The 18,506-nt window shown below is 37.8% G+C and overlaps 1 protein-coding gene and 3 non-coding genes across 5 annotated transcripts in view; all 4 read right to left on the reverse strand.

Moving 5' to 3' along the window:
* GABRA3 (gamma-aminobutyric acid type A receptor subunit alpha3) overlaps window positions 1–18,506 on the reverse strand; it is a 285,082-nt gene that overhangs the window by 222,170 nt on the left and 44,406 nt on the right. The window lies entirely within an intron of this gene.
* Window positions 3,816–3,896, reverse strand: MIR105-1 (microRNA 105-1). Its single transcript, NR_029521.1, has one exon. It is a non-coding gene; the product is annotated as a microRNA 105-1 (primary transcript).
* On the reverse strand, window positions 5,018–5,126 carry MIR767 (microRNA 767). The gene has a single exon (NR_030409.1). It is a non-coding gene; the product is annotated as a microRNA 767 (primary transcript).
* On the reverse strand, window positions 6,009–6,089 carry MIR105-2 (microRNA 105-2). Its single transcript, NR_029522.1, has one exon. It is a non-coding gene; the product is annotated as a microRNA 105-2 (primary transcript).

Consider the following 18,506-nt stretch of genomic DNA (forward strand, 5'->3'; position numbering starts at 1 on the left):
ATAACTTAGTGGTCCATAATAATAATCAGTAGCCAACTATAGATTCTCACCCTGCATGTGTTCAGATAACCCTGACCATAAATGAGCCGATATTCACAATGCGTAAGTTGACAACCACTGTTTATGAGAAGATATCACTATTCCAAGAACACTACTATTTAGAATGAATACTAAATTTGCAATGGTAAATAAGTAGATATCCATAGTGAAGTAATGATGTTTTCACCAATAATATGAAGTCATTAAATCATGAAACATGTCATAATAGTGCTGGAGCACACAACTATAGGATGGTTATTATTCAGGCAGATACTGCATGTATTTTTAAAATTATGAAACAAATGGATTTGCTTCAGGATCAGATGCAACCATGCAAAAGATTATACTAATACATGCTCAAGCACACAGGGTACATGAACAGCTATCACTTAAGTTTGAAAAATTCATTATAATGGACACTCAAACAACTCTGCCACATTTGCTGCAAGGCATGCAACAGTAGACATTTGGAGATGAAAAAGGAAAAGAATGGTAATAGAAGAGCAGGCAAATGTGGTATATGAGCTAACCATCTAGGGCTTATAATACTTCATTCTTAGTACTATAGTAGACAATCATAGTTCAGGCATAGATACACATAGTAAATATGCACAACTCTACAACTTAAGACAGAAGGAGATGTCACTAATGATCTGCTTACTGAAGTATATGTGTTGCTTGACTTAAACACACACAAGGCATAGAAAGTAGTAGCTTTGGTCCAGAAGTAGAGGGTAATGGTATAAAAAAGAAAACCTCGGCATAGATCAAGAAGACCATAGCACATAAATATCCATCAACAGCGTTTTATAATTTGACCATGATACATAACAAACAACCTCAGATTATGAATTGAAACTTACGAAACAGGAGGAAGTAGCCATGATGCAGAAATAAATGGACATAGTACAGGTGCAATCACAAATACTGTGTTATGTGATACACAGAACATGAATTTTTAAAAATGGCTTTGGTCCAGGAGCTGAAGGAATTAATGCAAATGGAGATCCCACGGCACATTCCCAGACAACCATGCTGCGTGATGAAGCGGCACTACTAGAGGCTGAGGATTTGACCGTGATGCATAATCAGATGACAGCAGCTATATAAGAGGAGATAGCAATGATTCAAGAACACATCTATGCAGCCTAAGTGCAGACAGTAATTGATATATGAAGGAATGTAGCAGATGGCAATGATGCAAAAGGAGATCATGAATACCATATGATCACAATGTACCCTAAGACAACTGCAAAATGAGCTCTTGACTATGTTATGAGAAGATGATATAGAAGGAGACAACACTGATGGAGGGGAAGAATACCTCAGTGCCGGACCTAAAAACCATCATGCATCAGCTAATACATAGTCCAATACACAGAAGATGGCATTTTCGGTGCAGGATCAAACTATAATGGCTCATGCTTAGAAAATTGTGATTTTTTATATATGGTACATGGAAGGGAAGCATGGTAAATGATAAAAAAAAATATAGGAGCAGAGAGACATCGTTTAGAGCTTGTTCACATGGATAAGATTTGAGATTAAAAAAATACAACACAGGAACAAAGATTTGGGGGCAAAGTAAATGGCAATAGTAAAAAGTAAAACAACACAGTATATATTTAAATAGCAATGTGGTATGAACAAACATTCCTGGTGTTTGAACTTCTAATATACAATCAGTTTTCAACTTCTTTGCCTTTGGTTTGAATGTCCTCCCATAGCTCAGAGTAATTTGATCGTCTGAAGCCTTCTTCTCTCAGCTCGTCAAAGTCATCAATCAGATAACTATAAAGTGTATGCTGAGAGTAAGGACACAGAGCTAAAGGATGTGATACAGAAACTGACAGCAATGACAGGAAACCATAAAAAGGGAATTCAAATGAAATAAATTTGATATATAAACTTATTTCAATAACATGAATGATGGCTATCTCATTACAACAGTAGACACAATTATGCCTTATGCAGAAAACCATGGTATGTGAGCACATTAGATAACTATGGTGATGCACATACAAGTATGTTTGAGGAAAAATTAGAAATGGTAGGTCAAGAAAGCCATAGACTGGTACTTACCGAGAGGGGCATGGTACAATATTTTCAAAATAAGATGGCATGAAATAGTCCAGGAGCAGATGGCAATGGCCCTATAGATGACATCAAGGCAAATGGTTGTACAACATTTGTGCATTGTAAAGCCACCACCAGTGCTTAACCATTAGACTATAACACACACCAAGATAATCCCAGAACATAGGCTGCCAACCATGATAGAGAATGAAGAAAAAATTCTAGTATAATAACGATGATAACGATGATGAGGATATTATTAAAAATTATAATTATTTAGAACTTATTACATACCAAGCACTAAGCACTTTAAAAAAACAAGCATATGAGGTAGATGTTATTATTTTAGGGAAAAACAAAAAAAAGTGATTTGTATATAATGCAGTCTACCCTTATTATATATCAGTGGTGCTATGCTACCTCTAATGGATATGGTAAATTAAAAAACACATGCTTAACAGAGGAATTAATGGCTATATTGCTGATAGAGACAATAATTCCTGTTGCATAAATAAATATATAGTCCATTGCCAGACATTCTTGGTGTATGAGCAGTCACAATAGTCAGAACATTTGACCACAGGCACACTCAGATAATCCTGCAATATGAACTGACATTCAGGATGGCAGAAGCACAGGCAAACACGATACTGTCAAAATTAACAAACTGTTATTCATGATACAGATGATTCCATCCTTTTATCAGTTCAGGAGTAGACAATGACAACTGCATTTTTACACAACCATAGTGTATGAGCGAAAGTCTATAGTACAACCCCATACACAATATATGAGCAGAAATTCCTTACGCGTGCTCAGTCTACCATGGAGAATGAGCCAATACTTACACATAAAAGAAAACAGACATGACACAAAGAAAATAGCCACATAGTTGAAATTGTACAGATGATCACAATATATAATCGAAAAGCCACAATACGGGAAAGAATTCCTTGGTTTAGGAGGAGATGGCAATGGTAGGAGACACCATGACATGCGCTCCAATGATCACATGGAAGAAAAACTACCACTGGTGTTTGAGAATTTAACCACAATACACACCAATATACACTGAAAGGTGAGCTATCAATTATGATACAGGTACAGGTGGAAATAGAATAGTAGTCAACTACTGTGCTATTCTTTCTCAGAAAGACACGATGAATAATGAAATACAACACAGCAATGAATGACTTTGCCAAAGGAGTAAAGGGTATATGTGCAAAAGGAAAAACCAAGGTATAACATCAGACGACCATGCTGAATGGACAGCCACCACCAGTAATTTAGCATGTGACTAAGGTACACAACCAGACATTCTCAGAATGCAAGCTAAAAGTCATGATAAAGAATAAAGAGACATAATACAAATAATATAACAATATCAGCAAATACTTATCATTTATATGTGTCAGGCACTAATCTAAGCATTCTACATGTGCATCTTTGAATCCTCACAACTCTATGAGGTATTATTATTTATTTTACAGTTTAGAAAACAGAAACAGAAGGGTGAAATGACTTCCTCAAGAATTTCAAACTATTAAATAGGAGAACTGGGATTTAAGTCCAAGCAGTGAGCATTGTGCACATACACTGATGGTGCCATGCTTCCTCATATGGATGTGATACAAGATTAGAAACACAGAGCACAGGAACAAATGGCTTTGGTCCAGAAGCAGACGGCAATGTAGCAAAAGTAGACACCGTAGCACATGCTCAAACATCCGTGGTGCATGAGCAGCCACCACAGGAGTCTGAGCATTTGACCACGATGCACACTCAGGTTCTGCAACAGAAGCTGACATCCAATATATAGGAGTAGATACTGAGGACGAAGAAGGAGGCAAACACACTGTATGACAAAAAATCATGGTGCACAAAATTATATTCATGGTACAGAAAATTCCATTTTTAGTACAATGTAGACAACGATGGTGCATTTTCACAAATCATGATGAATGAGCAGAAGACCATAGCTAAAGGGCATAAGCACATTCATACAACCATGGAAAATTAGCCAGGGCTCACTTAGAGCCAAGAGACATCTTATGAGAAAATAATCATAAGTGGAGACCTCATAGATGGATATAGTACAAGATCAAAACATCTCAATACATGAATGATTATTTCAAATGTAGGTGGCAAAGGTGCATAGAGGACCCACCGTGTAACATGTTCAGACAAAAGTTGATGAAAGCCATTAGTGATATTTGACTGTTTGATCTTGACTTACACAGGTACACAAAAGTAGTTTACACTATTACGTAGCATTTATGCCAAAGGAGCTAAGAGGCATAGATAGATACAGCACACAAACTTGTTTTCGGAGAATAAAACCATGCTGTGGTGCTTACTTAGACAGATATTGTGCCTTATACAAGAGCCACGGTACAGGGGTAAACAGCTTTGTCCATGAGTAGATGTCAGATATGTCAAAAGAGACCTGACACCATATACTCAGATGACCATTGCATGAACAGCCACCACTAGTATTTGGGCATTTGACTATGATGGCTACCTACACAATCCCACGACATAAAGTAAAAGAATGATACAGGAGCAGGTAGACATGAAACCATGATTACCAAAACGGATATGGTTGGTGATTAAAAATCATTATTTTCTTTAGTCTGGGAGAAGATGGCAATGATTAAACGGGTGAAGTTATGATATATGCTGAAACAGCCATGTTGCATGAACAGCCATCACATCATAGGCATTTAAGCATTTGACTGATGTACAATTAGAAAGCCCAGTGACATGAGATAACATCTGTCTTTTTGGAACAGATAAACAATGTGCAGAAAAAGGCAGAAGTGATCTAAGAGTAGAGAGTCATAGAATATGAGTAAATACTAAACTCATATACACGATGCATAAAACACTATTTCCCTGTAAAGCAGTAGACAATGAAGGTTCCTGCTCAGAAACCATGGGGTATGAGCAGACAAGCATGCTGCATGCTCAGACAACCATGGTGCATGAGCAAAAACCTACAATATAAAAGCAGGTGGGTGTGATACAAGAGTGAATAACACAATGAGGAATATGCCCAGATGGACAGGACATATGAATAAAGGAAACATAACACATGAATACAACTTATTTAGGCAAACAGCATATGACAATGATGCTGGAGGAGATATCATGGCACATACTCAGGCAATCATGGTGCATGAGCAACTAACACTAATATTTGACTGTTAAACCACGATGTACACCCAGATATCCCAACAAAAATAAGCTGATGACCATAATATAGGAGCAGATGAACAAGGATATTGAAGAAGATGCTGATAATAAAATAGCAGAAAACGATAGTGCAGTAGCTAATAGAATACTACAGATGGCAACGATTCAAATGACTGCCATGGCATATACTTATATAATGATGCTTTAAACACTATCACAAGTATCAGCATTTGACCATAATGCACACTTAGAGAACTCCAGAATTTGAGCTGACAATTATTATACACGATCAAGGGACACAGTATCATTATCATCATTGTCATGTCATCATCATCATCATCATTGTTATCATCATCATCACTACCTGCCAGGCAGTATTAAAAATATTTTATGTATAATAGCTTATACAATCCTCACAATAACCTTACTACTTTTTTTGTCATTTTGCAGGAAACTGAAGCATGAAGATACGAATTGATGTGTCCATTTCATGAACTGATGTGTCCAAGATCTCATAGCTAGTAAGTGGATAATCCAGGATTCAAATTCAGTCATTTTGGCTCCACTATCCATTATTGTAAATATGACAATAAATGACAATATGCTGTGATTCTTCTGACAGACATGATACCAGATTTTAAAACAGAGCAGAAAAATGAGTGGCTTTGTTCCAGAAGCAGATGGCAATGTTGCAAAAGTAGACACCATAGCACATGCTCAAACATCCGTGGTGCATAAGCAGCCACCACAGGAGTCTGAGCATTTGACCACGATGCACACACAGAAGATCTGCAACATGAGCTGATACCAGGTTATAGGGAGTAGACAGATGACAAAGGACAGAGAAAACTCATCACAATAGTGAAAGACATGGTGTAGAAATTAATATACATAGTACAAAATACTCATTCCCAGTACAAGTAGACAATGATTGTGTATTTTCACACAAGTGTGGTGTTTAAGTTTAAATACGTAGTACAACTTCAATCACAGTATATGAGCACAAATTCATTATGTATGTTTATATTATCATGGAGAATAGGTCAATTCATACATGAAAAAGGGGATAGATATGGTATCCCAGGAAAGAATCACAGAGTAAAAACTGCTCAGGTGATACAAAAAATACGGGTATGTATGGCATTTTGTCAAAAAGAAGATCAAAATAATACAGGATGTTCAGATGAATAAGATGCCAAAAAGCATGTTTTAATATGTGTTCATGAGGTCCAGTCAGACACCTACAGGACATAGGCTATCAATTATGACACAGGTGCAGATGGACATGATATGGAAATAAAACATGGTGTGATTCTTACTTGGGTAGATATGGTATGTAATCAAAAATAACCATGCAAGCAATTAATGACTTTGGCCCAAGAGAAGATGACAGTGGTACAAAAAAAAGACTCACATGGACATAATGACTCATAAAAAAAATAACCATGGTGATTGACTCTACACATTTGTGTTTGGGCATGATATAAATCCAAACGATCCCATTACACAAACTAACAGCTATGATACAGTTAGTAAGCATGATACAGGAACAGACAGCAAATATGGAGAAAATACCCATTCTGCAGGAGCCAGTGACCACAATTCAGGAACTAATATTCATGTTATTAAAGTTATCATTCTCCACACAGAAGGAGATTATGTTTATTTTTTACACATTAATGATGGGTGAGCAATATCTATGATGTATACACAGAGAATCAATTAGTATACACATAAAATACACAAGCAGTTGGCTATCCTTCAGGAGTGGTATCCATTCAGACGCATGTCCCTATCCGATATCCACAATACTGAATCAAGTTTTCAGTTAAGGATAAGATGACAGTGGTGCAAAATGACACCTCATGCCATATGCTCAGATGGCTCTTTTGTTTGAGCATCTGATCATGGTGCACAACTTAACAACCATAAAATGTGAGGTAATGAATGATAATAGAGAAGACTATATCCCAAGACTATATCGCTGTAAATACGCAAAATACAGGAACAGTTGGATATAGTACAAGAGCAAAAAGCAATGTTGAAGTAGGAGCCCGACATGACTGATATATGAGCTAGTAACATGCTGCACAGTGTGATAACCATGACATAGAAGTTGGTCAATCACAGATCAATCTCAAACATCAGTGATATATGAACAGAGAACTAAGCTGTAGTGCTTCCTCGGATGAACACATGCCTAATTTAAAAGCTATAACATAAAAGCAAATGTCTCCAAATGTAAATGCTATTATGGGTTGAATTGTGTTCTACAAAAGAGGGGCACTGAAGTTATAACTCCCAGTACCTGTGGATGTGACTTTATTTGGTAATAGGGTCTTTGTAGATGTAATCAAGTTAAGATGCCTTTATAATGGATTAGGGTCAGCCCTAAATCCAATCACTGGTGTCTTTATAAGAAGGGGGAAATTTAGATATAACAGACAACGAGAGAAAACCATATGACAATGAAGTTAGAGATTGGAGTGATGCTGCCACAAGCCAAGAAACACTTGGGATTACCAGAAGCTGAAAAATGCAAGGATGACTCCTTTGCTAGGCTCGAGAGAGAGCACGGCTTTACTGACACTTTGATTTAGAACTTTTAGCCTCCAGAACTGTGAGAAAAACATTTCTGTTGTTTTAAGCCACCTAGTTTAAAGCACTTTGTTGTGGCATCCTTGGGAAACAAATACAGATGACATTGTTACAAAAGGACTCTGAGACATGTTTAAATGACTGCATGGTGTATAAATATCTCCCCCTGTAGTTTTACCACCTGAACAAAAATCACACTCAGAAAACCCCTAAATATTATCAGGAAGTCATGATGTATGAACTGACAGCCATAGTACAGTGTGCTCACAATCATCTATTATTAGAAGTAGAGAGTAGTAGAATCATCCAAATACCTTGTGACTATAGTCAACATTGTACATGAGGATACTACATTGATATGTTAAACAATGCAACATGCCAAGAAAATAATTCATGAGTTGGAAATCACAACACAATAGCCTTAAGCTCCGGGACAGGTGTATACCATCATGGTAAATGTTCAGATAAACTTTAAACAAGGTAAATTGCACCTAACACAGAAGTCACTGGCTCTGGCTTGATACATGGGCAAATATAACTAACATGCTTGAAAATCATGACATATGACATCATAAACATGGTTCACGTTCATGTGCATAAACTCTTCTTATATAGGAGCAGATACTTATAATTCAGGATCAGAAGGCCATGGTGCTTGCTTGGATACCTAAGCATGCAGAATCATATTACAGTGACAAAGGGCAATACTTCAGGGAAAGATAACCATAGAATCACGCAACATATCATGTTAACACAGCATTGGTGTGTGAGCCAAAGGCCATGGTGCAAGAGTAGGTTACCCTAAGTCTAAAGGCATACAATCTCTGCAGAAGCTGGTCCCAGGGAAATGCACTGAGGAGTGAAGGCATATTTGGCTTCTATAAGAGACGGCTTGTGAGAACCACACTCTTTACACCTTCTGTGGCTTCAGTGATCAAATAACTTATGGCCAAAACTTGGACACTTTGGAAAAAGCAAACTTTAATATGCCAAGATAATAGGTGTAAACCAGGACTATAGTAGACATATGGTCACCCTGCCTATGGTCATTTAAGATTTCTCTTCAACCTGATAACCAAACAAAAATCTTTTTCCTTTTTAGAATATCCTGCAAATGCTATTTCTAACAGAAGCAGAAGCCACAGGTGACAGGTTATGCTTCAGGTAGGAAATGTTCTTGATCACATCAAAACTCTAGATCTCGGGGAGTAAACAAACTCTACTTATTACTACCCTCTTAAAGTCCTCTTCACTCCAGACTATTTGTATTCCGAATAAACATTTAGTACTTCAGCCATTCAGCAATATTGAGAAAAAATCTTGAATGATCCATCTATGACTTTGCCTCGACCATTAACCTTTCTAAAATATACTTATTTTCCCCTATTTTATTTTTCTTTTCTTTCTAATTTTCTTACACGAAAGGAGAAATTTCTCCTGTTTATTATGTCTCTTCAACTTCTCTCAGAGCACCATTTCTCACATTTATGGATCGGGCACAATAACCACCTTATCGAGCTGTCGGGATTAAATAAGATACTGTCGAAGTATCTATCCCAAGGTGAAGCATGTAGTAGGTGCTTGGTGACAATGTCATCAACAGCACTATTACTCTGTCATCAAGTCCTTTGCTGCTGGGCTATCACAATTGACACCCTCTAAGGCTACCCTGACTGTTAGGAATGGCCCAGGGCCATTCTGCAGTCTTTATTTGGGTGACTTTAGTTATAATCTCTTCCCTCAGGATCAGACCATTAGCTTTTATGTCTACTTGTGGCCACAACTGCAACCTCCTTTCCTCTTGGTTTCAATTCTGCCTCAGCCTAAGGAAACAAAAAAGATTCCCAAGCATGCCTAAGTCCTGTTTAAATGGGTTAGGCTCTGAATAAGGTCAGATAGCTCAAGTGGCTTGGCTTTCATATTATATCTGCCAGCTGGAGTTTTTCCACCTTTTTTTTTTTTTTTTGGGCTCTACAGCCCTGTTCTGTTCCTAAGGGCCAGGCCCACAAGGGATACTTCAGAACCACCAATCTATTCCTCCAGATGACACAGCAGACCCTAAAGAGAATTGCTCTAACTTAAATAACTTCTAACCTCACCATTTTTCTGGCCCTTCCCAGCCTTTGGCTGTGGTTCTTATGAGAGGGAGGACAGTGTTGACCCATATGTCATTGGTTCTAAACTAGCTATGATCTCTTTGTTACTGCCACCCATCTAACAACCTGAGGCTCTTAGAAAACAGAATGAAGGGTATAGAAAAAAAACTATTAGGAAAGAGACATATTTTTCTCCTTTTATATAAAAAGTACAGAAGTTTTGAAACAATTCAGATTTAATTTGCTGATATATGTTTCTACTTAGACAAACATTAAATTCTATAACATACATAATGTCAACATAGGAAAATACCAAGTTTGTGATTGCACATACCAATAAATAAATACATTTGCTCAAGAATATTTTTAAAAAAAGCATACAACCATGTTGTGTGCTCAGAATACCATAGTACACAAGCAAACAAGCATGGAAGAGAATCAGGTGGTTACAGTTAAGGAACACAGAAAAGAAGCAATCATGGTGTGGGAATGTGTCTCCAAGATGTGTGTGGAGATAGTCATGATATATCAATATGCACTCAGCCTGCAAGGGGATAAAACATTTTACTTTCTCAGAAGAAGCAAAAAGAATTTGATTGATGGCTTGGGGAGAACTAATTTCTGGTCAGATAATCTAGTTCCCAAGAGGCAAGCTTCCTACTCTATCTAGTAAAGACTCACACAGATCAGGGCTGAGGAAAGAGACAATCTCAGTCCTAATTCTTGGAAGTATCTTAAGATAATAGAGGTGTGCCATCACAGCCACTCAGGCTAGGTGAGTATAATGCTCAAACAGACACAAGTTTAATCCATGTATTCATGTTCTCAGAAAATATTTTACAATTGTGCTAAATTCAGACAACACAGTATTCAACAAAATAAGGATTCTCAACTTTAAGGGGTTGATAGTTTACTGGAAAGAAATGCTAATTATTATGAAGTATGATTTGGGGAATAGAGGAAGATATCACTGGGAAGTTTCTGAGTAGGAACTGGTGAAGCTCAGATTTTAAAAAAAATAAAAAGAAGCGGAAGAATTTTCTATCACATATGAAGACCAAAGGGAGCCAAAGATCATACTAGGCTAGAAAATATGAAAGTAGTTCAGTACTTCTGAAGCAAAGAGAAATAAGAGGAGAGTGGATAGAAATAAAACCAGAGAGGTAAGCAGAAACAGTTCATGTGTGGTCTCACAAGCCACTTCAAAGAGTTTAGGTTTGATTTTTAGAGAAAAGAGAAACCACTGAAGAATGCTGTCACACTAGCAGATTTGCATATTAGAGAGAGCTTTCTGATTGCTAGATACAGATTGGATTTAAAAAGACTAAACTAGAATCAAGATTGGAAGTGAAATTGATGCTGGGACATTGAGTAAGAGGATCCAGTCAGACATAGCGAGGTGATTTTGCAATAGCTAGAAGGAAGACTGCAAAACTCTACAGGAATAGCTTTGAAGTTCTGAGCACCCCTAGAGCCCCAACCTAAGGGAACCCTAGTGACTTACCTATTTGGTAAAGACATCATCAGACAGACAAACACCACCTTCTGTAGTATGAATCAAGGCCTTTATGTTGAAGAGCTAAAATGGACAACATACAGTGGGGACCTCAACATTGCAAGTGAAAATATGAGGCAGAGAAACTGGGGAAAGGGGTTCTCTCTTTTTGAGCAAAGAGGATACACACACGTCACTCTGAAATATATAAAATATTTTCTCACGTTAATTTATGTTTTATTAATATTAGTTTTATTTACTCATTTAGGAACCTAGACATTAAATTTAAATACAAGTAGGCTGGGCACAGTGGCTCACTCCTATATTCCCAGTGCTTCGGGAGACTGAGGTAGGAGGATCACTTGAGGCCAGGAGTTTGAAACCAGCCTGGGCAACATAGAGTCTCTGCAAAAGATCCCATCTGTACATAAATAGATAAATAAATAAATAAATAAAATTAGCTGGGCATCGTGACACGTGCCTGTAGTCCCAGCTACTTGGAAGGCTGAGGCGGGAGGATCACTTGATCCCAGGAGTTGGAGGCTGCAGTGAGCTGTGATCTCGCCACTGCACTCCCGCCTGGGCAACACAGTAAGACCCTGTCTCAAAAATAAATAAAATAAAATAAAATAACATTAAATAGTGGCTCTCTTAGTGTGGTAGCAAGATTTTGGTCCCCATGATCTCTGTCCCCTAGTATTATCCCTATGAATATGTAAACATTACACAACCAAAGAGACTTTGCATATGGAATAGTTGATAATCAACTGACTTTAAAATAGATATAGTATCCTGGATTACCCAGGTGGGTCCAATATAATTACATGAGCCTTTAAAAGCAAAAGAGGAAGGGCAGAGTAAGAGATCAGAGAGATGGGGCAGAGGAAGAGGCAGGAGAGATTCAAAGTGTAAAATGTCCTCAATCCTCCATTGATGCTTTTGAAGATGAAGGGATCCCATGATCCAGGGAATGTAGGTGACCTCTAAGAGCTGATAAAGAAAACTCTGGCCAACAGCCAGCAAGGAAACAAGGACCTCAGTTTAACAACCACGTAAAACAGAAGTCTGTCAACAACCTGAGTGAGCTTGCAAGCATATTCATCACCAGAGCCTCCAGAAAAATAATGTAGCCCTTACAATATTTTGACTTCGTCTTTGTGAGACTCTTTAAGAAAAGGACCCAGGTCAGCCAACCAGACTTCTTATCTATAAAGCTGTGAGATATAAAACGTGTGTTTTTTTAAACTGTTACATTTGTAGTAGTTTGTTACATCAGCAATAGAAAGATAATACACTTAGGCTCTTTATCTCTAACAGGAGGATAATAGTTCTTTCTTTTGGAATGTGTGATGATTTAATGTGTGTATATATATATATATATATATACACACACACACACACAAACACATATACTCTACAAATTGATTAGAGTACACAGCATGCACTGAGTATCCAATAAGTGGCGGCAAGTGATGTTACATTAATATAATAAATTATATCTGTGCTCTTATGATGTATTTTGCCATTCATTATCAGATTTTATCCTTATCACAATCATGATAGGTAAGCAAGGTAAGAATTTTTCAACTTACATAACAGATAAAAATCTAAAACACAAAGAGGTTTTTACTTGCTCACAAACCAATTACTAATAAGTGTAAAAGAAGGGACTGAACTGAAAACCTCTGACTCTTGGTCAAATGATATTTCCATAGTTTACTTAAAATGTAAATATTTCTGGAAGAACTTTCTATGATGGCGAAAATTCAGTTATACTATTGGGAGTGGGAGGAATACTTTTTGCTCGAGTTGTTGTTTGATGCCTCCAATGTAGCACAGGGCTGGCCTAGGCTCTTGGAATGAATATTTGCAAGAAATGTAATTTCACAAAGGGTCTGCTTGGAGACCATTGTAGGAGAACAGCGACTATAGGATAGAGATTTGGATAAGGCCATGTAGAAACCAGCACTAAGGGATTTAGGAATCTGCTATAGCTCTCTGAAGAGCAAAAACCATGTAGTTCTTAAGTCCAGAGCATTCTGGTTTCAGCCAAAGCCATTAATCCTCTCTGCTTCCTCCTTCTTCAGCTCACCCACATACCCCTCCCAATAGCTTCACAGTTCAGCTTTATTTCAAAGTTCAAGAATCTCAGATATAAATGCAGCATGATATCTGAAGCTAGAAAGCAACCACAGGTAGAAGAAGCAAAGGCTACTTTCATATGTCCAAATGAAGAAACACAATAGTACAGGACCTCCGTAAGGAATACTGTTCATATCTGGATAAATGGTGAACTAAAGCAGAATCTCCTATTCCAGAAGCTGATGGAGGAAAACTTTTCTCTATTCTGCAGACTGTGCCAACGCCTTAAGCCAATGCTTATCCCTCCAGCCGTCACACACTGTCTACATGTCAAGGTGGGGAAGGACACTAGGAAATTCATGGAAATTAGCATACAGCGAAAACAAGATTGTCTGTGTGATGTAATCTCTTTTTGCTACACAGATAAATTTAAGGAATAGATTTTAAATTAGCCGTAAGTTTTGGAACATTTCACTTCCTCTACTGAGTCTCAATTTCCTCATTTATAAGATGAATTGGTCAAACTAGATGATGACTAAACTTCTAAGTCTAATAATCTATAATTCAGAGAAATGTCAACTGAGAATGAAGCAGGAGCATAAAAGCAGCACTGGGTCCCTATGCACCTTTCTTTCCCTATGTCTCAGTTTTACTTCGAATCAGAAACCTTCAGGATAATAAAGATATACAACAGATATGGAAGTAAAATATTATGATAAAAATGTTGAAATAATTAATTATATAAAAATATTGACTATATAGCATGTGACAGATACTGTACCAAGAATGGGGATACAAATATAAAACAGGAAAAATGTCTTCCTGGGGACAGACAAAAACATAACTAACATTTACCATAAAACATAATTAAATATCAAAGACAACACTTTATGCACTGTATTGTTGTCCACTTGAAGAAGAAGCCAACCATAATTTGAGAAGGCCAAAGAGAGTATAAAATTGAATAAAGGAGGTTACATTTTAGTGAAAACTTGGAAGCTATATTAACATAAGAAGAAATAGGATGGACATTTTATAAGAGTTAATACTTTATTTATGTGAAGTCTACAGAAAACTTTCTACTTAGTAGTGAAACATTAAAAGGAGTCCCTCTAAAGCTGGGAAGGAGATAAAACTGGCTGCTAACACTAACTTTATTCAATATAGTACTAAAATTTCTGGCCAATGAATTAAGCTAAGAAAAAAGAATGAATAAATATTAGAAAAAAGAGAAAAAGTGTTAGTTTGCAATGGAATAATAGTTTACTATAAGATGGACAAATAATAAATAAAAATACACTAGTCAATATCCTTTGCAAACATCAACAATAACCAACTAGAGAATGTAATGGAAGAAAAAAGCCATTCATATTAGCAAAAAAACTATAAAACTTAGAAATATATATAACAAAATATACACAAAATTTACTAGAAGAAAACTGTAAAACTTTATGAAGAATTTCTGCTTATGGCTATAATGGACAACTTTATATAACAGACCAACTCATCCACCAAGAAAATCTAGAATACTTCCATAAAATGTGTGTGTGCTTGTGTGTGTGCACACGTGTGTGTATGTGCACACGTGTGTGTGTGTGTGTGTGTGTGTTATTTCACCAGGGAGCCAACGCAAATAGGATTTGAAGGGCCAAGATTTTGGAGTTAAAGAAAACTTGCTGAGGTGAGCCTGATATACTATACTTCTTAACCCCTGTCAGAATTTGCTGACTGGTAAGTTACCAAGTAACTAACACAGCCAGAAAGGCTGAAAAGTCAAGCAGAAAGCAATGATTAAGAGACAGAGAAGTGGAACACAGTTTCCTACAGTATCACAGAGGTGGTGAAACAAAAATCAAAGTTCAGGGCTTTATATAACCCAGGTTTTGAAAAACCAAGATCCGGGAGAAAGCAGAAGAGCCAAGAAATGAGTCTGACAGTCTGAGCCACATTTTCCAAGGAGGCATTTACTGATTTCTAAATGGTTGTGTTGGAGAACTCAAGCAGAAAAAAAGATGTTAAAATGATTACAAGCTACTCATCAGCAGTATCATGGAGTTTGGGGCCCAGTAAGGTCAGTGTCCCTGGTAAACCCCCAAAATTTCAGCTGGAATGCTTAAGGGCTACACAAAGAGTAAGGATGGAAAAGAAAGATATGATCCTCTCTTTAAAAAAGATAACAGAGGACTTTGGGTTCCAGACAAGATGAAATACAATCATTTTCCCCATTCCTCTCAAGTTTTTACAATTAAAACTCTAGACAAACCACAGCAGAAAATTATAAAAAGTTGCATATAAGTGGAAAGGAAAAGGCAGACTGGCTAGGGACCTTGAAACTTAAGAAACAACATGGCAGGGAGTTCCCTGCATTTTCTTTTTACCTCCCCCATACCCCAAACTAGGAGTTAGAAAAGCTTGTAACAAAGAACCACCAACAGAGGCAGACAAAAAAAAAGTCCCAAATAAAAGTCTGCTCTCTCTAGCCAAAGGACCAAGAAAGGGACATCCCAGAAAGACAGAAAACTTATTGACAATACCTGCACTACCCTAGCCAAACACCACAAACAGTCCATCACCAGCAGTGAAAGAGGAGGCCAAGTGAGGGGCTCAAACTTTCAACTCCATCCAGCAGTACAGGTAGTCTGAGGTGATGATTCCCTCCTCTGTGGACAGAGCACTGGCAGAGGCTGAGTGAGGAGTCTAGACCCCAAACCCTTTCAACCAGGAGAAGCAGGAGAGCCAGGAAGTCATTTATTATTATTATTATTATTATTATTATTATTATTATTATTATTATTATTGGTTCTCAGTGTCTAAGGAAATTTCTGTCAAATCACTAGCTAAGTTAAGAAAACACAGACTTCAATGACCACAAAACACATAGAGTGCAGTCTTAAAAAATAGTTTAGAGGACGGAGGTGGAGCAAGATGGCTGATTACAACCCTCCACTGATCGTCCCCCTGCAAGGAACACTGAATTGAACAACTATCCACGCAAGAAAGCAACTTTATAGGAAAAAAATACTCATGTAAGAGATCAAATTATCTGGTTTCAATATTTAATATAATATCAAGGGAGGAGGCATTGAAGAGGATAAGAAAGACAGTCTTGCATTGCCTACACCACCCCTTCCCTCTCCCCTAACTGTGCCTTGTGGAGAGAGAGAATCTGTGTGCTTGGAGGAGGGAGAGCAAGGTGAGTATGGGTCTTTGCATTAGAACTCAGTGGCCCTGTCACAGTGGAACATAATACAAGGCAGAATTCTGCTGGTGCCACGGTGCATCTACACCAGCCCAAGGCCAGAGGGTACTTACGCACCCTTGCAAAAAAAAAAAAAAAAAAAAAATGCAAGTCCCAGTCAGCTCCACCATCAGCCAACAAAAGTGGCCTGGGGCCCCAAATAAACTTAAGTGACTGTCAGGGCACAAAGACTGCAGGCCTTGGGCAAGTCCTGGTGCTGTGCTGGTCTCAAAGGCAGTGGACGTGGACTGTGCATGACCCAGTGCAACAGCAGCTATGATGTATAGGGCCTGTGTCACACTTTCCCCAACTCCAGGCAGTGCATCTCAAGGAAGACAGTCCTTCCACTTGGGGGAAGGAGAGAGAAGAGTACAGAGGATTTTGTCCTGCGACGTGGATACCAGCTCAGCCACAGTAAAATAAACCACCAAGCAAATTCCTGAGGCGCCTAATTCCTGGCCCTAGCTCCTGGATGGCATTCCTTGACTCACCCTGGGCCAGTAGGGAATCGCAACCCTGAAAGGAAGGACCCAGTCCTGGCAGGATTCACCACCTACTGACTAAAAAGCTCTTGGGCCTTGAATAAACATTAGTGGTAGCTAGGCAATAGATTCCATGGCCCTTGGGCAAGATCCAGTACTGTGCTGGCTTCAGGTGTGACACAGCACAGTCCTAACCATGGAGGCCATGAGAGTGTTCACATGACCTCTCCCCTAACTCCAGATAGCCCATCATGGAGAGACAGGCTGCTTCTAATTAATGGAAAGAGAGGGAAAGTAACAGGCTTTGCGGGGTAATCTAGGGAATTCTCTCTTATCTTACTTAAGCCCACCAAGACAGTGCCTCTTGGGGTCTGCAAGAGTCACATCATTCCCGAGTTTAGTGTGCTCCCAAGTGCTGATACAGCTGCAATGACCCCAGGCTTAAATCACAAGATATATGAGAGAGAGGACCAACAAAACAACCAGAAAACAAACGACAAAATGGCAGTAAGAAGTTTGTACTATTAATAATAACCTTTAATGTAAATGGACTAAATTTTCCAATAAAAGATATGGAATGGCTGAATGGATTTAAGAAAACAAGACCCAAATCTATGCTGTCTGTAAGAAATTCACTTCGCCTGTAGAGACACACGTAGAATGAAAAGAAAAAAAGGATGGAAAAAGATATTCCATGCAAATGGAAACCCAAAACAGAAGGATTAGCTATCTTATATCAGATAAAATAGATTTCAAGACAAAAAAAAAACTATAAGAAGAGAAACGGAAGGTAATTATATGATAATAAAGGGGTCAGTTCAGCAAGAGGATATTACAATTTTAAATATCTATGCACCTAACACTGGAATATATATATATATATATATATATTTTTATATGGCAAATGTTATTAGAGCTAAAGAGCAAGATAGACTCTAATACAATAATAGCTGGGGACAACTACTTCCCACTTTCAGCAATGAACAGATCGTCCAGACAGAAAATCAAGAAAGAAACCTCCAAGGTAATCAGCACAATAGACCAACTGGACATAATAGACATTTGCAAAATATTTTATCCAACAGCTGGAGAATACACATTCTTCTACTAAGCACATGGAACATTCTCAAGGATAGACCATATGTTAGGCCACAAAGCAAGTCTCAAAAAATAAAAAAATTACATAAGCTATCTTTTTCTTCCAT

The sequence above is a fragment of the Homo sapiens genome, chromosome X (genome assembly GCF_000001405.40).
Source record: "Homo sapiens chromosome X, GRCh38.p14 Primary Assembly".
Taxonomy (NCBI): domain Eukaryota; kingdom Metazoa; phylum Chordata; class Mammalia; order Primates; family Hominidae; genus Homo; species Homo sapiens.